We start from the raw sequence: 23,002 nt of genomic DNA, 5'->3' as shown, positions 1-23,002 counted from the left end.
GCTTGAATCCAGGAGGAGGAGGTTGCAGTGAACCGAGATCACACCACTGCACTCCAGCCTGGGCGACAGAGCAAGACTCTGTCTCAAAAGAAAAAAAAAGAAAATGAATATAATTTCAAGGAAAAAAGCTTACCTGTCACTTGGTGGACTGTTTTCTTCCTCTTGCAAATATTTTTGGGTATTTCGCCTTCGTACCTTCGGGACAACATCCTTTCTTACAAAATGCCTATCTTGTGGTTTTGAATCTTCCTGAGACACGATATCTTCGATGTCATCCAGTAGTGTATCACAGGATGCAGAAGGCATATTCTCTACCACATAAAAGTTATAAATAAAATCAACTTATGAAAATCTGCTTAGCGTAGCATCATTTATGAAATATTCTCACCAAATTTGAATCTAATCAAGCCTTTGGATCTAACTTCAAATTTATAGAAAATACAAGAGATAAAGAAACACAAGGATGAAGTACTATCTTGGGTATATTGAAAAAAGAAACACAATGAAACAATCAGACAAAACCCTAATGACAATGGGACATTCCAAGGTTCAACAGGAACTATTTCTTCAACAAATCAATGTCAAGTAGGAAAAAGTAGGAGAGGAACTGTTTCAGATAACAGGAAGCGTAAAAGCCTAACAACAAAATGCAGTTCATGTTCTTGATTGTTTCTTCTTTGTCTGTCAAGCTATAAGAAATTTTGGGTATAACTAGGGAAATCAGAATATAAGCTGGATATTAGATAATATGAAGAAGTTATTATAAATCATTCGATATAAAGTATTGTCCTTATATTCAAAAATTTTATTTTTTAGAGATGCATATTGAATATTTAGAAGTGAAATGTCATTATGTCTATAATTTACTTTAAAAGGACCTCAGAAAAAATAGACTGGCTAGCCACAGTGGCTTATGCCTGTAATCCCAGCACTTTGGGTGGCTTATGCCTGTAATCCCAGCACTTTGGGGAGGTGGGCGCATAACTTGAGGTCAGGCGTTTGAGACCAGCCTGGCCAACATGGTGAAACCCCATCTCTTTTAAAAGTACAAAATTAGCCAGGCATGGTGGTGTACACCTGCAGTTTTAGCTACTTGGGAGGCTGAGGAAGGAGAATCGCTGGAACCCAGGAGGCAGAGGTTGCAGTGAGTCGAGAGTGCACCACTGCACTCCAGCCTGGGCAACAGAGCAAAACTCCATCTCAAAAAAGAAGAAAAAATAGATTAAGACATACTGAAAAGCATTTACAACTCTTAAAACTAGAAACTAGATAGGTTCATGTTCATTATCCTATACGACTTTTCTAAATATTCAAAATTTTTATAATTAAAAGAAGAAAATGTGGACACAGCTTGCAAGAAGATAAGCACATTTTTCCCTGCCCCGCCAGCAAAATACAAATAAAACTCTGGACATTATATATAAAACAAGCATAAGGCAGACTGGCTATGAACCTCAGGACCCAAGGAATATGATGAGTTCCTTGGGTTTTCTTCTGCCTCCTACAGCTCACTAAAGATCCCAGCAATCAGAAATGGCAAGAGATGCCAACAATAAAACCCCCCAATAAAAGCCTGCTTTCTCGTTAAAGAACTATACAAAGGGCAGCCTAGGAAGACAGAAAAGTTTTAGATAATAATCATTCTACTCCAGCCAAACACAAACACACACACACACACACACACACACACAAAACTGTAATCCCACCCCCAGGCACGCTACAAAGGCCAAGTGGGGAGAGCTTGGACTTCTACCTACAATCAAGCACCCCAACACACTCCACTAGTGTAGAATCAGAGAAGGACCTGGAGGGATCCTGGACATTCAAACCAACCAACCGACCAGTAATGAAGTTTTGCAGTGTCAGTGGAGACCAAACTGATACACAAGTTTAAAATAATCCCTATCAAAATCCCAGGAAGATTTTTTTGTAGGTATAGATAAGACTATCCTAAATTTTATATGGAAATGTACAGAAACTAATATATTTAAAACAATTTTGAGAAGAGTAAAGTAAGAAGAACTGGTCTACCCAATTTTTTTTTTTTTTTTTTTTTTTTTTGAGACGGAGTTTCGCTCTGTGGCCCAGGCTGGAGTGCAGTGGCGCGATCTCGACTCACTGCAAGCTCCGCCTCCTGGGTTCACGCCATTCTCCTGCCTCAGCCTCCCGTGTAGCTGGGACTACAGGCGCGCGCCACCATGCCCGGCTAATTTTTGTATTTTTAGTAGAGACGGGGTTTCACCGTGTTAGCCAGGATGGTCTCGATCTCCTGACCTCGCGATCCGCCCGTCTCGGCCTCCCAAAGTGCTGGGATTACAGGCGTGAGCCACTGCGCCCGGCCTGGTCTACCCAATTTTAAGACTTATTAGATAGCTATAATTGAGACCGTGGTATTGGTAGAGGGATAGAAATATAGATCAATGGAACATAACAGAAAACCCAGAAACAGACCTACACAAATATTCCACAAAAGCAATTAAATGGAGGAAAGATTGCTTTTTAAACAATTCGTGCTGGAGCAAGCAGACATTTATAGGCAAAAAATGAACCTTGACCTAAGTCTTGCACCTTATACAAAAATTAATTCAAAATGGATCATAGACTTAAATGTAAAACATAGGCTGGGCGCAGTGGCTCACACCTATAATCCCAGCACTCTGGCAGGCCGAGGCGTGTGGATCACTTGAGGTCAGGAGTTCAAGAACAGCCTGGCCAACATGGTGACACCGCGTCTCTACTAAAAATACAAAAAATTAGCTGAGTGTGTTGGTGCACGCCTGTAATCCCAGCTACTTGGGAGGCTGAGGCAGGAGAATTGCTTGAACCCACAAGGCAGAGGTTGCAGTAAGCCAAGATTGTACCACTGCACTCCAGCCTGGGTGACACAGTGAGACTCTGTCTCAAAAAAAAAAAAAAAAAAAAAATGTAAAACATAATATTATAAAACTTTTAGAAAAAAATCACAGGAGAAAATCTTCTGGACTTAGGGATAGGTAAAAAGTTACCAGATGTGACACCAAAAGCACAATCCATAAAAAGAAAAAGTAATAAATTGAATGTCATTAAAATTTAAAACTTTTGCTTTAAGAAAGACCCTATTAAGAGGCTGAAAAGTCAAACAGTCAAACTACAGAGTGGAAGAAAATATTTGCAAACCACATATCTGACAAAGAACTAGTGTCAAAACACAACCGTAAAAAGAAAATGACAAAAGACATTTCAAGAGAATATACAGAGGGCAAATAAGCACAGAAATGGAAACTAAAACCACAATGAGGTATCAGTATACACCTTTCAGAATGGATAAAACAGACAACAGTGAAACCACCAAACACCGGCAAGGATGCAAAGAAACTGCATCATTCATACAGTCCTGGAGGGAATGAAAAATGGTATAGCCACTCCAGTAAACAGTTTGGTGTTTTCTTAAACAAATCATATGACTGTGATGCAACCCAGCAATTGTACTCCTGGGCAATTATCCAAGAGAAATAAAGACTTGTATTCAGACAAAGACCTGTACATGAATGTTCACAGCAGCTTTCTTTGTAATAGCCCAAATCTGGAAACCACCTGGATGCCATTCAAAAGGTGAATGGTTAAACAAAGTGTGGTACATCCATACCATGGAACACTATTGAGCAATAAAAAGAAATGTACTAATGACATATGCATCAACCTGGATGACTCTCCTGAGAATTATGCTGAATGAAGAAATTCAATCCCAAAAGGTTACATTCTGTATGATCACTTTTATATAACATGCTTGAAATGAGAAAATTATGGAAATGGAGAACAGAATAGTAGTTGCCAGGGATTAAAGAAAGAACAGGGTGAGAGGAGAATGGGTATGACTATAAAAGAGCAACATGAGGAATCCTTGTGATGATGGAAATGTTTTGCATCCTGACTGTATCAATGTCAATATCCTGGTTGTGATACTGTATTGTATTGTAGTTTTGCAAGATGTTACCAACGGGAGACCTGGGTAAAGTGTACAAGGATCTCTGCATAAGTTTTACAACTGCAGGTAAAGCGGTAATTATGTTAGAATAAAATAGTTAAGAAAAAAATGGGGGGGGAATACACTCGTATATACTTACTGATAGTACTACCACTAATACTATATCCAGACACAAGGCAAGTCCTTTATAGGGTCATCTCATCAACCATTCACAACAACTCTTACTAGGTAGATAGTATTACTATCCTCGCTTTAAAGATGAACAAACTGAAACACAGATAAATTAACTTGCCCAAAGAAGCTAAACAAGGATACCATGACAGATGAGTCCAAGCCCACGCACTGTGTGGTACTCTACTACCTACTTAGTATGTGTATATTGAATGACCACTGTTCCTCATCTGAGTTGCAGTGTTAAGGATCTTACATTCTTTCAGTTGTCCTCAAAGCTTTCTGATGAATTTTCCTTCTCATTTGCTGGATTCCCATCCTTCCATTCACATCATTCAATTAACAGAGTGGCAGCCAGCCAGGCTCCTTTCCTCTGTAATGTATTCATTACAGCTATGACAAATTATGCACTGGGTATCCGAAAAATCTGTGTTCAAATCTCAGCTAGCTTTATATTGTCAGTAAGAACCAAAGATTAGAAATAAACCAAACATCAATCCATCAAGGATTGGCTGGATTATAGTTAACATACGTACCACGTGGTCATGGTAAGACTGTCAATTGCCGGAAACGGTGGCTCACGCCAGTAATCCCAACACTTTGGGAGGCCAAGGCGGACAGATCACCTGAGGTTGGGAGTTCATGACCAGCCTGACCAACATAGAGAAACCCTGTCTCTACTAAAAATACAAAATTAGCCGGGCGTGGTGGCACATGCCTGTAATCCCAGCTACTCAGGAGGCTGAGACAGGAGAATTGCTTGAACCCGGGAGGCAGAGGTTTTGGTTAGCCGAGATCGCGCCATTGCACTCCAGCCTGGGCAACAAGAGCGAAACTCTGTCTCAAAAAAAAAAAAGACTGTCAATCACAGACTTCCCTTTCCCTAGACACTGGAATGGGGAACATGACCCAAGCTTGCCAGGGTAACTCATCCTCCTGGCCACAATGACCAGTTCAAGGTCAGTCATGAGAAGCCTAGCCAATAAGAATCACTGTGAGGATTCTACGCTAGTGTTAACAGAAGATAGCTTCTCTTGTCACTGAAGTGGCTAAGTTGGGAGGATGTCAACTTGGGGATACCAGAGCCCTCTTGTCTGCTACAGGGAGGAAGCCTACTTAAGGAATGAAGCCTAATAAGATCTAGAAAGATAAAGAACCATACTGACATTATTTGAGCATCTGAATCCAACAAATGCCTGAAGCCAAATGCAGCCCTGCTCTGCCCAGTCATGCGAGCCTGTGGCTTAAATCAGTTTGAGGTGGGTATTCTGTTCTTGCAAAAAAGAGCCCTGGCCAACTCAGCCATCCAGGTAGGGTGAAATGAACCAGGTTAGTCTTTCCCAAATTGCTTCTAATTATTTACTACCTATCTGGAAAAAAAAATGGTTCTGTGGTCAAATAAATTTAGAAAATTCTGCGTCCTTACCCATTCACAGTGTGCATTATTAAAGACTGAAGAACTGCAGTAAGAAATTGCACTAGTTTCCAGGATGCCACACTCTCCTAGCTCCAGTCTCCTCTGCTCATCTCTCCAACTTCTCACCATTAGAATGCCCCCATGGCTCTGTTACAGGAACTCTTCTCTAGTTTCAGGCACTCCCTAGGTGACCTCATCCAGTCCCATGGCCTTGAAATATGAACTACGTCTATGCTTACATAACCAGCCCCATTCTTCCCCCGAGCTTCAGACTCAGACGTTCAACTGCCTATTCCACACCACTGCTTGAATGTCTAATAATTCCTTCAAACTTAAAAAGTTAAAACAGGGCTGGGCATGGTGGCTCACGCCTGTAATCCCAACACTTTGGGAGGCTGAGGCGGATGGATCACCTGAGGTCAGGAGTTGGAGGTCAGCCTGGCCAACATGGTGACACCTCGTCTCTACTAAAAATACAAAAATTAGCCAGGCATGGTGGTGGGCACCTGCAATCCCACCTACTCGGGAGACTGAAACAGAAGAACCGCTTGAACCCAGGAGGCAGAGGTTGCAGTGAGCTGAGATTGCACCACTGCACTCCAGCCTGGGCGACAAAGGGCGAAGCACCATCCCAAAAAAAAAAAAAGTCAAAGTCGAAACAGAATTCCTGATCTTCTCCCTACCTTACCAGATCCTCTTACAACTTCTCCCATTTCATTTAATGGCAATCCTGGCTGGGCGCAGTGGCTCATGTTTGTAATCCCAGCACTTTGGGAGGCCGAGGTGGGTGAATCACAAGGTCAGGAGTTCAAGACCAGCCTGTCCAACATGGTGAAACCCCATCTCTACTAAAAATACAAAAAATTAGCCAGGCATAGTGGCGAGCGCCTGTAACCCCAGCTACTTGGGAGGCTGAGGCAGGAGAATTGCCTGAGCCCAGGAGGCAGAGGTTGCAGTGAGCCAAGATCTCACCACTGCACTCCAGCCCGGCCAACAGAGTGAGACTCTGTCTCAAAAAAAAAAAAAAGACAATCCCAATCTTCTACTGCTCAGGCCAAAAATCCTGCACTCCCCTCTTTCTGTCACCCTAAATCCAATCAATCAACAACATCCTGTTGGCTGTACCTTCAAAATATATTCAGAATCTATTTGTGACCATACCCACTGTTACACTCTTGGTCCAAACCAACATCACCTCTTGTCTGGATTATTGCAATCCCTAATATCCTTGCTTCTATCCTTAAACTCTACAAGAACATTTTCAGCACAGAAGTCAGGGATCCCTTTAAAACCTAAGTTCATCTCAAGCTTCTCAATCAAACCCTTCCAGTGGTATTCCATATCAGAGTAAAAAGCCAAAATCACTACAAAGATCTGCAATGACATATATAATCAGCCTCCTGCTGCATCTCTGGCCCCACTTCCTACCACGCTCCCCTCAGTCATGCAGGCTTTGTTATTTCGTACCCACTAGATATGCATTCATTTCACAGTCTTATTCTTGCCTGGAATGCTCTTACTTAAGACACCTGAATGGCTCACTCACTCAAGCCCTTAAGGACTTTGCTCAAGTGTAACAAGAGAGGACTTTCCAACCAACACCCCCACCTCACCACACACCCTCTTCCTATGCCCCTTTCCTGCCTTTTTTTAAACTGTAGCATTTAATCATCTGCTTAAAATGTTTTAATAATTTTTTAACTGTTTATCTTACTAGAATACATACTTCGTGAGGGTAAAGGTTTTCGTGTGAGGTGTTCACTGTTTTATCCCAGGTGCCTAGAACTATGTCTAGCACATTGCAGGTTCTCAATAAATACTTTTACTGCAGACTACACAGTCGGGCAATATATGGATATAGATATTCTGAGTATGCCAAATTAGTTTCTGACTCGGGAGCCTTCATAATTGCTATTCCTCTGCCAGAATATCAGCCCCCAGATAAGTATGTCTTCCCACCCACTTCTTCACTCAAACAACATCTCCTCGGAGAGGCCTTTCCTACTACCTTATCTAAAATAACCACGCTGCCCAAGCATGCCCACACTTTCACTGCTTCTAACCCTGCTTTTGTTTCATGTTTCTTCATTGTGCTTACCTACCTGACACCACATATATAATTGTATCTTCCTCATTACAATGTAAGCTTGTTAAGCACAAAGGCATCATCTCTTTTTCAGTACTGTCTCTACAACACCTCTAACAATGCCTGACACATAGCAGGCACACAATAGTTACTGACTAAATGAATGAACACAATGCTTAAGTTGAATTTAGCTAGTCTTTCTATGACACAGCAGGAAATTCTACACTGGGTGGGAAGCTGAAGTAAATGCCCAACCCCTAGGATTTCTTCTATCACCACTCTTCTATGAAATAATTAAATGAGAGAGGCTAGGACCAGGTAGTGCCTTTGGAATGCGGAAGAACTACTGACAGATCATGAATAATTAAATAACATTAATTAAAAGCCATATTTTTTAATTACACAATTTTGCCATCCCATATACAAGTGTGTATGGATCCACTGAAGAGAAATAGAAAGGAAAAAGAGGAATGAAAGGAATCCACTGCAATAGACATCCCATATCATTAGAGTTAGAGAAGCAGAAGTTGCTAAGCTTCTTATCTTACAGAGCTGGAGTCCACTGAAGCAAAAGGATTTGTACATTGATAGAGCTAGAAATCAGAACCTTGGCATCCTCTCAATACCATGCTCTTCCCACTATGGCTTTGCCTCACTGGCAAAGTACAAACAATGCAAGAATCTAATGTGACACTAATAAGTAACCACATTCCAGAAAACAATGCGTAAAGGAAAAACAGGCAGTTCACTTAAGAAATACAAATACCCAGAAAAGAAAAAAAAAAAAAGAGGAAAGAATGCTCAACCACACTAACAACAAGTATTGAAACAATAAGTTATTTTTCAGCTGCCTCACTGATACAAAGCTGACAAAAACTCTGTTAGCTGAAAGCACAGAAAAACTGGTACACCCCTTCTGGAGGGCAACCTGACAATTATACCAAACATATGTATATCCTTCGAGCCAGCAATTTCATTTGGAGATATTCACTCAAAAAAGATAAATATAACGCTGCATATCAGCATTATGTAGCATAAACCTGGCTGTATATCATAAGTACCTAAATAATCTCACTCATCACTATTAATAAGCTAAAGGTTTTACTTTGAACAAACTGATAGACTGATAGAGGGAATTGTTTAGCCTTCAGAAATTTTTAATTAAATCATATGGAAATGAAAGTTTGAGAATAAAAGGAAAGCAGCGTAATAGCTAAATGGAGCAAAAGGATCATTAAAAATTTTTCTCAAAGGTAGAGGAAATCAAATTTGATAAAGGGAATAAAAATAGAGTCAGTGAAAAGGAAAATACTCAAAATGATAGGAAGAAGGAGGATGCAATATCCTAGAGCAGTGGTTACTTACATAGGTGAGTTATTAGGGAGGCTTTTTTTTTTTTTTTTTGTAATTATGAGACAGAGTTTCACTCTTGCTGCCCAGGCTGGAGTGCAATGGCACGATCTCGGCTCACTGCAACCTGTGCCTCCTGGGTTCAAGCAATTCTCCTGCCTCAGCCTCCCGAGTAGCTGGGATTACAGGCACCTGCCACCACGCCCAGCTAATTTTGTATTTTTAGTAGAGACGGGGTTTCACCATGTTGGTCAGGCTGGTCTTGAACTCCCAACCTCAGGTGATCCACCTGCCTTGGCCTCCCAAAGTGCTGGGATTACAGGCGTGAGCCACTGCACCCAGCGGGAAGCTTTTCATCATATCAAATCTCCAGGTTCCATTCTGAATTAGAATCTCCAAGAGTAGAACTGAAGTATGTGAACATAGAAACTGTCCAGGTAATTCCACTATAGATCCCTAATTAAGAACCACGATTCCACAGTAATGGTTCTCAATCTTCAACACTCATTCTATTCACCTGAAGAGCTTTTGAAAATTCCCAACTAAGCTTGCAGTGAGCCGAGATCACGCCACTGCACTCCAGCCTGGGCGACAGAGCGAGACTCTGTCTCAAAACAAAAACAAAAACAAAAGAAAAAAAAGAAAATTCCCAACTAAGCCCCAAGATAGCTGAATGAATCTCTGAGAATGGAGCCTGGGCATCAATATCTTTTAAAAACTTTCCAGTCATTCTCATGTGTGTACAGCCACAGTTGCAAAGCAATGTCCAGTGGTTTTCAAAGTGTAGTTTCCACATCAGCTGGAGTAGCATCATGGGGAACTTGTTAGAAATGAACATTTTTTCTTTTTCAGTTTTTTTGTAAAAACAAGGTCTCGCTTTGTTGTCCAGGCTGGTCTCAAACTCCTCCCATCTTGGCCCCTAAAGTATGGGATTACAGGCATGAGCCACCATGCCCAGCCAGAAATGAAAATTCTTGAACTCCACTCCAGACATACTAAATCAGATATTTTGAGTAAAACCTAGCAATATTTAACAGGCCCTCTAGGTGATTTTGATCTGAATTAAAGTTTGATAATCACTGTCCCAGAATTATTCTTTCATAAAAACCACCTAGAATGTATGTCAAATATACATAACCTAGACAATTCAAGGGGGAAAGCGTAGTTTTTTTTTCAACAAATGACACTGGGATAACTGGATAGCAACATGTAAAAAATAAAGTTGGAGCCCTATTTCACATTTCACATCATATACAAAAATTAACCGAAAATGGATCATAGACCTAAATTTAGGAGCTAACATTATGAAACTCTTAGAAAAAAACATAAGCACAAATCTTTATGATGTTAGAGTAGGCCCTTCTTTCTTAGCTAAGAAATGAAAAGCACAAGCAACAAAAGGAAAAACAGATTAGATGAAGAAGATACAGAAATGGGCCAGGTGCAGAGGCTCATGCCTATAATCCCAACACTGGGAAGCCAAGGTGGCAGGATCACTTCAGGCCAGGAGTACAAGGCCAGAGCCTAGGCAACACGGACCCTATCGCTACAAAAAAAAAAAAAAAAGTAAAATTTAGCCGGGCATGGTGGCATGCACCTGTAGTCCCAGCTACTTGGGAGGCTGAAGTGGGATCACTTGAGACCAGGTGGTCAAGGCTGCAGTGAGCCGTAATCGAGCCACTGCACTCTGGCCTGGGTGGCATAGGGAAGCCGTGTCTCAAAAACACACACATACAAATGGCTGATAAGCACATGAAAAGATGTCAACATCATGAGCCATCAGGGAAATGGAAATCCAAACCACAATAATACACCACTTCATACCCATTAGGATGGGTAGAATCAAAAAGACAAATAACTGTTGACAGGCATGTGGATTACATCACCCAGAGGGGAAGAAAAAGAGAACAGAGGTAGGAGAAGGTACAAGACCACGACTTGAGAGACTCCAAATTTAACTGCCAGATAAAGGAAAATCAGCTTATAATGGATTCCAAGAAGCAGCCACCAGACAAGGAAAAAAATCCATGGGCCATGGAAGGCAAATGAAAAGGGCATCTCAAAAAAGTGGACATGGTCAATGCTGGTGAATGAAAATGAAAGGTTAAGTAAAATAAATGAAAATATCTCTTCGATTTAATGCTATGTAAAGCACAATGTTTCCATAACATGATAGTGGCAAATAGCTAAAACATTAGGCTACCTCTCTGCATTTTCTAACATGCAGAAATACGCACAGCACTCAAACATAAAAGGTTTAAAATAAATCAGTACCTTAATTATCTGCAATTAGTCTAAAGTCCTCTTGAAAGATGAGTCTGGAAAATAAAAATTGATTAGGAAAAGTAAGCACCCAAAAAGTTCACAAAACCACTGTAAGGATTCTTTACTTAAAAGGAATCAGACTCCATAAAAGACTGCTTTATACAGCAGGATTAATGATGCTCCATACTACTTGTAACTTCTTACTGATTACAACAGGTGTGCTGACATCTGCCGTGACGGTGATCCAGTGTCTGGCTTTAGTAATAAATGTTGTATTCAGCACCGCAACACGTCTGCATAGTGCGAGTAACCAACCACTACAAAACAGGATTAAGTCAATAAGGTAGATAGACATCCAGATCACGTTCCATCCGAAAGATAACTGTCGTCCCGAGATTCAGAAAAAGGTTTTATGAGCAAAGAAGAACGAAAAGTGAAAAAGCAAGACACCTGCTTTTCTCAATAACTTCTGCTTAAATTCTTAACATACTGATCTGGGAAAGCTATATAACTGCGAAAGCCTTGTCACATCTACAAATTCACTAAGGTATAAAGTGGGAGAACAAATGAAGTTAAACCTGACAATAAGGAACGAGGTGCCTAAAATACTCCTAACTGGAGAGCGGCACCTGAGGCCAACGACCCTATCCTCGCTCCTGGAAGCCCCATCTGCCTCCCAATTCCCCCATCCCAGCTGGCAAATCCCCTTTTAACTGCGAAACAAATTTGCAAACAGCCCAAGAAAAACTGAAACTGGAGAAACAAGGCTTGGCCATAAAAGGAGCTGTGGCCACACTCTGCCCCACATGGACCCATCGGCCACCCTTACCCAGAAGTCGGGAAGTAAAAACCAGTCCAAAGTGAGAAAATCAACCCGCCACTCTCCGGAAGCTGCACAGACTTTAGATGGAGAGCGCCATGACACATACGTCCCGCCACGTTTATTTGCGCATGCTCAGCGACGGTGGCCCGAAGAGATCAAATTACATCATTGCTGAAAGCGCTAGTTCTGGTTTAACTTAGTTTAGGAATGACTACGCTTCAAGTTCCTTTGATTCCAAGAACTAAAATAACAACCCTGAGTCCTCGGGTTCCTAGAAATGCTTAATAGCCAACTTCTCCTAAGCTTTTATGTGTTAGACACTGTGCTAAGTACTTTGCATAAATATTATTCACTATTTATTTATTATTATTATTATTCCCAGTTTACAAAAGAGGACACTGGAAGTTTAAGGACTTAATCTAAGTTACTCTACTAGTCGTGCTGCGCTCTGGGCTGGATCCGATGCTGTCTGACTCCCAAAGAACTTGCTCTTTTCACTGCATTTTACTAGCCTCCTCAATCATTTGTGAAAAGAGGTCTCTTCTTTAATATTAAAAAAACAGGAAGGAAAGGATAAAGGTCAGTTGGTAGGTTTCACTTAATATACATCATTGAGCACCACACAAGTGTTTTTGTTTTTTGTTTTGGAAAACTTAGATGGCAGTTTAGCAGACACCTATGGAAAGAAAATACTTTTATGGAGTACGGATTCTCACCCGCTTTCTCTACATATGTTATCTCACTTTACTATTCGTTACCCAAGACACTGTATTTGACCATGTGTTTACCAGAAGAATATCTTTACTTGAAAAAGTAAAGGTAATAGGAGGCAATAGGCCATGAAGAAGGGTCAGAAATCGTGAGTTTTATGCCTGACTTAGGGTTTCATAGTGATTTGGGGCAATTACTTTGTTTTGCAAATGCCTTTCCTAGTACAATTTCATCTAATTAAAATGCCATCCATCTACTCAAGAGGCTGATGTGGGAGGATCACTTGAGCTCAGAAGTTTGAAAACAGCCTGGGCAACACAGTGAGACCCAGTCTCTAAAATAGATTTAAAAAAAAAAAAAAAAACCACCCTTTTCTCTGTTTATCCATATCCATAAAATAATCTAAACTGTGCCCTGGGGTCCACTGTTGTCTTTACCCACCTAAATTAAAATTGTGTATTTATGTTGCCCTACTTTTTTTTTTTTTTTTTTTTTTTTTTTAGATAGGGTCTTCTTCTGTCACCCAGGCTGGAGTACAGTGTTACCATCACAGCTCACTGCAACCTCTCCCTCCTAGCCTCAAGAGATTCTCATGCCTTAGCCTCCCAAGTAGCTGGGACTACAGGTGCACACCACCATACCCATCTAATTCCATCTCTTTCACTAGACCAAAAGTAGGCCCTGGGTTATCTTCTTGGTTGTAATCGCACTACCTAGCACATAACCTTGTGCCTATGTTTATAGCTTCTCAATAAACATATGTTGAATGAATGAATGAATGAATGAATGACTCCACCCCTTTTCCCCCAAGATCTAGTTGAGTTCAGTAAAAGATATTTTACTGAGTATGTACCCCATGACCACAAGCACTGTGATAGATGCTAGAGCTAAAAAGAAAGAAAAAAAGTACTGCCTATTGCAATTGCAGGCTATTTTGAAAAAATTCATTTCAGTAGAGAATAGCAATCACTATGAAAGATGAATGCACAGGAACACAAAGGTGAAGTAAGGGAAATGGATGAAGGCATTCCAAGCTGGAGAGTCAGCCAGAGCAAAAGCAAGGAGGCCTGAAATGATGAATTATTCCACAGTGTAAAAGCAAAGAGAGTGAAGCTGGTGATGGGAGAAGTCTACCAGAGAAAGGGAAGCACAGGGACTAGATCAAGGTGAACCTTGTGTATTCAAAGGCATTAGACTTAATCCTGGATGTATGTAGTAGGCAACATGAATGTGTTCGAGCAGATTATTCTCTCAGGACAATGGGTTTGAGGACGATATTTCAGACATGAAGAAATAGTAAAAGCCTAAATTGAGTTGTTGGCTGGGAGGAATGGGAAGGAAGGACAGATTTAAACAAATTGAGGAGGTAACAGCAGCAAGACTTGGTGATTGATAGGTACGAAAAAAGAGGAAGAAAGGATGTTTTCAAGTTTTGGCTACAAAAACTAACTAACAGGTGAAACCTCTCTCTTTAAGCACCTTTAGTCTAAATCCTTTGAAGTCAGTAACCCTACCTCTAGGAATTTATCTTACAGAAATATACATAATGACCTATGTTCCAGAGTATTTTTTGAAGCATTGCTTACAATGACCTATGTTCCAGAGTATTTTTTGAAGCATTGCTTACAATGACCTATGTTCCAGAGTATTTTTTTAAGCATTGCTTACAATAGCAAAAGACTGGAAACCCTCTCCGGCTCCTCCTCAATAGAGTATTGGTTAAATATATTTATAGTATCTGTACAACCTTTGAAAAGCAACCAGTAAGTCCGGGTGCAGTGGATCACGCCTGTAATCCTAGCACTTTGGGAAGCCGAGGCGGGTGGATCGCCTGAGGCCAAGAGTTCAAGACCAGACTGACCAACATGGTGAAACCCTGTCTCTACTAAAAATACAAAATTAGCTGGGTGTGGTGGCATATGCCTGTAATCCCAGCTACTCAGGAGGCTGAGGCAGGAGAATCTCTTGAACCCAGGAGGTGGAGGTTGCAGTGAGCGGAGATTACACCATTGCACTCCAGCCTGGACAACAAGAGCGAAACTCCATCTCAAAAAGATTAAAAAAAAAAAAAAAAGGCCAGGCACGATGGCTTACGGCTGTAATCCCAGCACTTTGGAAGGCTAAGGTGGGCGGATCACGAGGTCAGGAGATCAAGACCATACTGGCTAACATGGTAAAACGCTGTCTCTACTAAAAATACAAAAAATTAGCCAGGCATGGTGGCATGAGCCTGTAGTCCCAACTACTCGGGAGGCTGAGGCAGGAGAATCGCTTGAACCTGGAAGGCGGAGATTGCAGTGAGCTGAGATCGCGCCACTGCACTCCAGCCTGGGCAACACAGTGAGACTCCGTCTCAAAGAAAAAAAAAAATAATGCTTTGTTTCTTAAATTAGAGTTAAGCTTCATAAATATACACCATCCTATTTTGTTCCTGTTTTTTCAGCCAACAATATAACACTAAATGCTTTATAAATATTTGGTAATAAGTAAACAAACCAATTGGTGTATACCAAGAACATTAAAAATGCAAGTAAATCTATAAAATAATAGTAAAGCTAAGATTTTTTCAAACACTTATAAATGTGTGCCAATAACCACCCATAAGTAACCCTATAAATGAGGAGTGCTATTATTATCTTGTTATCTCTTTTAACAGAGAAGAAACCTAAAGCTTAGGCAGTCTGACTTCAGTTGTTTTAACAACTCTATATGAATACTTCAGAAGAAAGCAACAATAGTGCAAAATTTCAAATAGAGAAAAAGCATTGGAGAGAAAAAACAAAAGAGTGATCAAGGAAAAGTGGAATAAAATCTGTTTGCCTGGACCGGGCACAGTGGCTCATGCCTGTAATCCCAGCACTTTAGGGGGCCGAGACAGGTGGATCACGAGGTCACAAATTCAAGACCAGCCTGGCCAAGATGGTGAAATCCCGTCTCTACTAAAAATACAAAACTTAGCCGGGCGCGGTGGCAGGCACCTGTAGTCCCAGGTACTCGGGAGGCTGAGGCAGGAGAATCGCTTGAACCTGGAAGGTGGAGGTTGCAGTAAGCCGAGATCGCGCCACTGCACTCCAGCCTGGGTGACACAGTGAGACTCCATCTCAAAAAAAAAAAAAAAATCTGTTTGCCTTAAATATTTTATGTTGGCCTTCACAGTAAAAATTGAAGAGAAAATATGGACAAGAAAGAAGTTACACAATTCTTACCCTCTCAGTGACTAATCAATAAAGAATAAAATATGAAAATTATAAAAATCTGGGGCCAGGCACGGTGGCTCATGCCTGTAATCCTAGCACTTTGGGAGGCACAGGCAGTTGTTTCACTTGAGCCCAAGAGTTTGAGACCAGCCTGGGCAACATGACCAGACCCTGTCTCTACAAAACAAACAAAAAAGTAGCCGGACATGGTGGTTCCAGCTACTCGGGAGGCTGAGGTGGGAGAATCACTTGAGCTCAGAAGGTCCAGTTTGCAGTGAGCCGAAATCACACCGCTGCACTCCAGTCCAGGCAGCAGAATGAGACCCTCTCTCAAAAATAAATAAATAAAATTAAAATTAAGAATTGGGAACTGCTTTTTAAGATTATGTTTTGGAGACAGGGTCTGGCTTTGTCACCCAGGCTGGAGAACAGTGGCACCATCAGAGCTCACTGGAAACTTGAACTCCTGGGCTCAAGCAGTCCCCCCACCTCTGCCTCCCAAGTAGCTGAAACTACAGGGGCATGCCACCACGCTCGACTAATTTTAAAACTCTTTTTGCAGCAACAGAGTCTCACTATGTTGCCCAGACTGGTCTTGAACTCCTGGCCTCAAGCAGTCCTCCACCTCAACCTCCCAAAGCGCTGGGATTGCATGCATGAGCCACCAGCCCAGCTGGAACACATGTTTTAGATTTAGTTGATGATCTGAGCAACTAGCCATTATACATACACATCTGTACCAATCAATATCCCTTTTCATGAGAAAATATTCATGTGCTTAATTCACTCTTGAAAGATGATAAACAATATACATGAAATTTTCTATGTAGAACATTAGGTGAATTTAGTAGAATGAGAGTTAAAACAGATTTTTATATTTATATATATATAAGCTACATATAAGCAAAGTGAAAAGTATGACTATTAAGTGCTCTTAATTTTTTTTTTTACAGGAGCATGCCACCGTGCCCAGCCAATTTTTGTAATTTCAGTAGGGACGGGGTTTCACCATGTTGGCCAGGCTGGTCTCGAACTCCTGACCTCAGGTGATCCGCCTATCTTGGCCTCCCAAAGTGCTGGGATTACAGGACTGAACCACTGTGCCTGGCCAACTAAACAGTTTTTCAGGAAAGTTTTGCAGGTGTTGGATGAACCCAAGAAGAAAGATGGTAACAGCAGAGGAATAGAGGGGGGCAAAAAGAGAAATACTAGATCTATGAGAAACGAAAAATTGCCCCGGATGGATGGGTGCTTCAATGTAGAGAATAAAAGGGAAGAATGCTGATGTTCTTTAATAAACTGATAAAAAGATCATATAGGAACATGATGTGAAATAACCTCCTATTGTCTTTGGACAAATGCTGAATTTTCTCTGCATAATTTAACCACTAGGGGTCAGAGTGCTATACTTCTACTATCTTTTTTTTTTTTTTCTTTGAGATGGAGTCTTGCTCTGTCACCCAGGTTGGAGTGCAGTGGTGTGATCTCGGCTCACTACAACCTCCACCTCCCAGGTTCAAGTGATTCTCCTGCCTCAGCCTCCTGAGTACCTGGGATTACAGGCGCCCACCACCACACCCGCCTATTTTTTTTTTTTTTTTTTAAGTAGAGACGCGGTTTCCCCACATGGGCCAGGGTGATCTCAAATTCCTGACCTCAGGTGATCCACTTGCCTCGGCCTCCCAAAGTGCTAGGATTACAGGCCTGAGCCACCGCGCCTGGCCCATTTTTGTATTTTTAGTAGAGACAGGGTTTTGCCACGTTGGCCAGGCTGGTCTCCAACTGCTGACCTCAGGTGATCCGCCCGCCTCGGCCTCCCAAAGTGCTGGGATTACAGCCCTGAACCACTGTGCCTGGCCAACTGAACAGTTTTTTAGGAAGATTTTTCAGGTGTTGGATGAACCCAAGAAGAAATATGGTAACAGCAGAGGAATTGGGGGGGGCGGGCGGCGAGAGAAATACTAGATATATGTGAAAGGAAAAATTGCCCCAAATGGATGGATACTTCAATGTGGAGAATAAAAGGGAAGAAAGCTGATGCTCTTAAATAAACTGATAAAAAGATCATACAGGAACATAATGTGAAATAAATCAACCTCCTGTTGTCTTTGGACAAGTCCTGAATTTTTCTCTGCATAATTTAACCACTAGGGGTCAGAGTGCTATACTTCTATTAACTTTTTTTTTTTTTTTTTTTTTTCTGAGACAGGGTCTGGCTCTGTCACCCAGGCTGGCATGCAGTAGTGCTGTCACGGCTTGCTGCAGCCTCGACCTCCCAGGCTCCAGCGGCCTGCCCACCTCAGCCTGTCAAGTAGCTGGGACTATAGGTGTGCACACCGCCAATCCTAGCTAATTTTCTTAATTTTTGGTAGAGACAAAGTCTTGCTGTTACCCAGGCTGGTCTCAAACTCCTAGCTCAAGTGATCCTCCCGCCTCAGTCTCCCAAAATATTGGGATTACAGGCTTGAACCTCCTCTTTCAGCTTTACTATCATCTATTCTACTCTATCAACTTACACAGATATGTTTGGTTCAATTCTATAATTAATTTTATCTGTTCACTCTCCCACTCTCAGTACAAGTGTTTTGGGGGTTGTACAAGTGCCCTGTAGCCCAAGCCAGAGAAATGAGAACATCACAGGGAATGCAACCAACACCAGGCCAGCGTGAATTCGGGGTTGTCGGTCAACTGTGAAATTCTGAGGCAGAAGCTTCCAGGACTACCACAAGGAGAGCACCGGCCTGAGATTGAAGCTATTTTTTTTTTTTTTTTTTGAGACAGAGTCACGCTCTGTTGCCCAGGCTGGAGTGCAGTGGCACAATCTCGGCTCACTGCAACCTCCGTCTCACAGGTTCAAGCAATTCTCCTGCCTCAGCCTCCCGAGTAGCTGGGACTACAGGTATGCATCACCACGCCTGGCTAATTTTTTGTATTTTTAGTAGAGACGGGGTTTCACCGTGTTAGCCAGGATGGTCTCGATCTCCTGACCTCATGATCCACCCGCCTCGGACTCCCAAAATGCCGGGATTACAGATGTGAGCCACCACGCCCGGCCTACCAAAGCTCTTTCAGAGGAAAGCAGAGTTGAGAGATGAAGGGAGAAATCAATAAGTTCCAAGGACAATTGTAAGGCCCCTATACCCAGCACGCCTGGAGCTAGCTTTCTTTTTGTGCTATTCAGTTATGTTAACAAGTAAATCCTTCTCTTCTTTTCTTAAACTAATTTGAGTGGATTTCTATGACTTGCAACCAGAAGAGTGCTGGCTAAACTTCTTGCTGTTACATATTCTCTTAATGATTAAAAAAATAAGAATTCGCATCTGTTGTCTAACTCCCTGATTGCTTATAATTATCTGTGGGTAGAAGACATGCGTTGTTTTCTCTGTCCTTCAGTAATATATGACTCATACATTGCAAACTTATTGAGTTACATAATAATGTATTTATTGAGTATATACAGTATACCAAGTACTGTTCTAAATGCTCAAAAAATAAAACAGACAATATCATTCCCCTTTTAAGAATTTATATGCGGCCGAGCACAGTGGCTCACGCCTGTAATCCCAACACTTTGGGAGGCTGAGGCGGGTGGATCACGAGGTCAGGAATTCAAGACCAGCCTGGCCAACATGGTGAAACCCCGTCTCTACCAAAAATACAAAAATTAGCCAGGCGTGGTGGTGCATGCCTGTAATCCCAGCTACTCAAGAGGCTGAGGCAGAGAATTGCTTGAACCCAGGAGGCAGAGGCTGCAGTGAGCGGAGATCGTGCCACTGCACTCCAGCCTGGGCAACAGAGCGAGACTGTCTCAAAAACAAAAAAAAAAGAAAGAAAGAAAAAAGTTTATATACTAATAGGTAGAGATAGACAAAACACAAGAAATATCATATGAAGATTGTATTGTGCATTGAAAGGTGATAAAGATGGCCACAAAATTACAGCAGATTAAGAAAAAGCAGAATCAGGCCTTGCAGTTTTTAAAGATGGTGGTCAGAGTAGGCTTATTGAGAAAAAGACGTTTAAGTAAAGGCTCAAAAAATGTGACGGGGTCAGCCAAAGAATGTATGGGGGAAGAGCATTCAAGGAAAAGGGGCCACCTAGTGGAAAAGCCTTCAGGTAGGAGCATACCTGACCTGTTTGAAAAACAGCAGGTTACATGACCAGCCTGGGCAACACAGCAAGACCCCACCTCTACAAACAATTTAAAAATTAGCTGGGCATGGTGGTATGTGCCTATATTCCCAGCTACTCAGGAGGCTGAGGCAGAAGGATCCCTTGAGCCCGGGGAAGTCAAGGCTGCAGTGAGCTATGATCGCACCACTGCACTCCAGCCTGGGTGACAGAGCAAGACTATGTCTCTAAAAATGTAGATCAGAGTGGTTTGAATCAAGTGAGTGAGTGAGTAGTAAAAGAGGAGATCAAAACTAGATCGCGTAGAAAGTGAAGGAAACATGTAGGGCCTCATAGGCTATAGTCAGAACTTTGACTTTTACTCTGAATAAAATGAGAACCATTAGAGCATTAGGAGAAGAGAAGTAGATCAAGGAGGCTGATTAGAAAGCTGTTGCAATAATCCAGGCAAGCACTGACAATGTCCTGGACTGGGAGGCAGCAAGAGAGGTGATGAGAAGTGATTTGATACTGGACATATGGAAAGACAAAGCCCATAAAATGTCTTGTAGATTGGAATTGAGGTAGGAGGGCAAAAAAGACATAAAAGATGACTTTAAATGTTCTGGCCTGGACAAGAAGAATGAAATTGCCATCCATGGAGATGGAAAAGATTGCAGGTGGAGCAGGTTTGGGAGTAGAAATGGAGGTGATCAGGAGTTCAGTGTTTTTAAGTTTTAAATTTTCTTTAACCTTTCATTTTGAAATAATTTCAGATTTTAAGTGGCAAAAGTATTCCAATTAATTCATGTATAGCCTTCACCCACCTTCCCCAGGTGCTAATTTTTTTTTTATTATTATACTTTAAGTTCTAGGGTACATGTACACAATGTGCAGGTTTGTTATATATGTATACATGTGCCGTGTTGGTGTGCTGCACCCATCAAATCATCATTTACATTAGGTATTTCTCCTAATGCTATCCCTCCCCCTCCCCTCACCCCACTACAGGCCCCAGTGTGTGATGTTCCCCACCCCATGTCCAAGTGTTCTCATTGTTCAGTTCCCACCTGTGAGTGAGAACATGTGGTGTTTGGTTTTCTGTCCTTGAGATAGTTTGCTCAGAATGATGGTTTGCAGCTTCATCCATGTCCCTACAAAAGACATGAACTCATCCTTTTTTATGGCTGCATAGTATTCCGTGGTGTATATGTGCCACATTTTCTTAATCCAGCCTATCATTGATGGACATTTGGGTTGGTTCCAAGTCTTTGCTATCGTGAATAGTGCCTTTATACATACGTGTGCATGTGTCTTTATAGTAGCATGATTTATAATCCTTTGGGTGTACACCTAGTAATGGGATAGCTGGGTCAAATGGTATTTCTAGTTTTAGATCCTTGAGGAATCACCGCACTGTCTTCCACAATGGTTGAACTAGTTTACACTCCCACCAACAGTGTAAAAGTGTTCCTGTTTGTCCACATCCTCTCCAGCACCCAGGTGCTAACACTTTATAGAACCAAATTACAATTATCAATACCAAGAAATTAACATTGACATGATACTACTTGGGCTTTGTCTTTCATGCTCTCTGTTAGCTACATCTCTCCCTGGAATTTTTCCAATTATTTTCTTACAAGTGATAAATCTGTAGAAGAAATTCAGGGACTTGCAGTTCCACTAACAGCAACTCTCTTTGAGAGTGAGTGGTGAGGCTGGGCACAGTGGCTCATGCCTGTAATCCCAGTGCTTTGGGAGGCCAAGGCGGGCGGATCACCTGAGGTTGGGAGTTCAAGACCAGCCTGGCCAACACGGTGAAACCCCGTCTCTACTAAAAATACAAAAATGAGCTGGGCGTGGTAGCCGGCACCTGTAAGCCCAGCTACTCAGGAGGCTGAGGCAGGAGAATCGCTTGAACCTGGGGGGCAGAGGTTGCCATGAGCCGAGATTATGCCACTGCACTCCAGCCTGGGCAATAGACAGAGTGAGACTCCGTCTCAAAAAAAAAAAAAAAAAAAAAAAAAAAAAAAAAAAAAACAGAGAGAGAGAGTGAGTGGTGAGAATACCAAAGGCCAAGGAGGGTTTTGCTAGTGAGAAACTGTCAAAGAACAGAACAGAACTCCTGCAGCAGTCAGTTTTATGAGAATTTATTCCCTGAACCTACAGAAAAGGCAGATTTAAATTGTAACAGCTGGGAGGGGAGGAAGTAGAAGGAAGTATTCCATTTGGTTTGTTTGCTTATTCTAAATTTCTCGAAGGCCTCCTTGGGGGTTGTTGTCTATTCAACAGGAAAGTAAAAGCAGAGATCAAAAGTCAAAGCAAGCCAGAACAGAATAAAGGAAGCAAGGCTTTTTGTCTTATGCTTTGTTGTGTTCTTATATTTGCCCTCTATAATTTCTCAATGATGATTGGTAGGGAGACAGAAAAAAATGTTTAGTTTAGTAAAAAGGCACTCAGTGAATTGTTACAGCATTTCTTTTCAAAGCATGTATTTAATTATGTTAGGTATAAATATGGGCAGAATTCATATCCAAAATGAATTTGCTTGGAGCAAAACGACTCCCTGAAGTCGATTTGTTTTCATATAATTATGATGTATTATTAGATAAATGACATATGGAAGTATATTTAATTGATTGCTGATTATCTTAGCTAATGGAGGGAAACAATGGTGTGGTTAATCCAAAATAATCTAAAGTCATTTTGATTTGATTTTGAAAAAAAATTGCTTTACATTTAGCAACAAATTGGGTATTTTTAACATTCTAAGATTTTTTATATCTTCAAATAAAGCAATGAAAACATACTGAGTAAAAATATATTCAGCTCATAGCCTGGCCCTGCACATATTAAACTGGCAATAAATACACGGTAATTAATAGCCAGAGAGTTTCATAGCTTCCTT

General features: G+C 41.4%; 1 protein-coding gene across 12 annotated transcripts in view, besides 2 other annotated features; it reads right to left on the bottom strand.

The window, feature by feature from the left end:
- The window catches only part of CDKAL1 (CDKAL1 threonylcarbamoyladenosine tRNA methylthiotransferase), a 697,948-nt gene extending 685,748 nt beyond the window's left edge, over positions 1-12,200 (bottom strand). For 7 of the 12 annotated variants that reach the window (NM_017774.3, XM_011514718.1, XM_024446481.2 and 4 more), the window contains exons 1-3: positions 12,083-12,200; positions 11,263-11,306; positions 134-311 (exon numbers count right to left, since the gene is read on the bottom strand). In NM_017774.3, the coding sequence (NP_060244.2) occupies positions 134-306 (173 nt within the window). In that variant the 5' untranslated portion in view covers positions 307-311; positions 11,263-11,306; positions 12,083-12,200. The other 5 variants (XM_047418949.1, XM_047418952.1, XM_047418947.1 and 2 more) reach the window with 3 other exon arrangements.
- Positions 12,002-12,081: an enhancer, noted in NCBI's record as "active region_24131". NCBI's record gives its function as "activates an Ori minimal core promoter by ATAC-STARR-seq in GM12878 lymphoblastoid cells {active_cell/tissue: GM12878}" and the evidence as "EXISTENCE:reporter gene assay evidence [ECO:0000049][PMID:35858748]".
- Positions 12,112-12,271: an enhancer, noted in NCBI's record as "active region_24130". NCBI's record gives its function as "activates an Ori minimal core promoter by ATAC-STARR-seq in GM12878 lymphoblastoid cells {active_cell/tissue: GM12878}" and the evidence as "EXISTENCE:reporter gene assay evidence [ECO:0000049][PMID:35858748]".

Source organism: Homo sapiens, chromosome 6 (genome assembly GCF_000001405.40).
Source record: "Homo sapiens chromosome 6, GRCh38.p14 Primary Assembly".
Taxonomy (NCBI): domain Eukaryota; kingdom Metazoa; phylum Chordata; class Mammalia; order Primates; family Hominidae; genus Homo; species Homo sapiens.
This window is presented reverse-complemented; position numbering and strand designations above follow the sequence as displayed.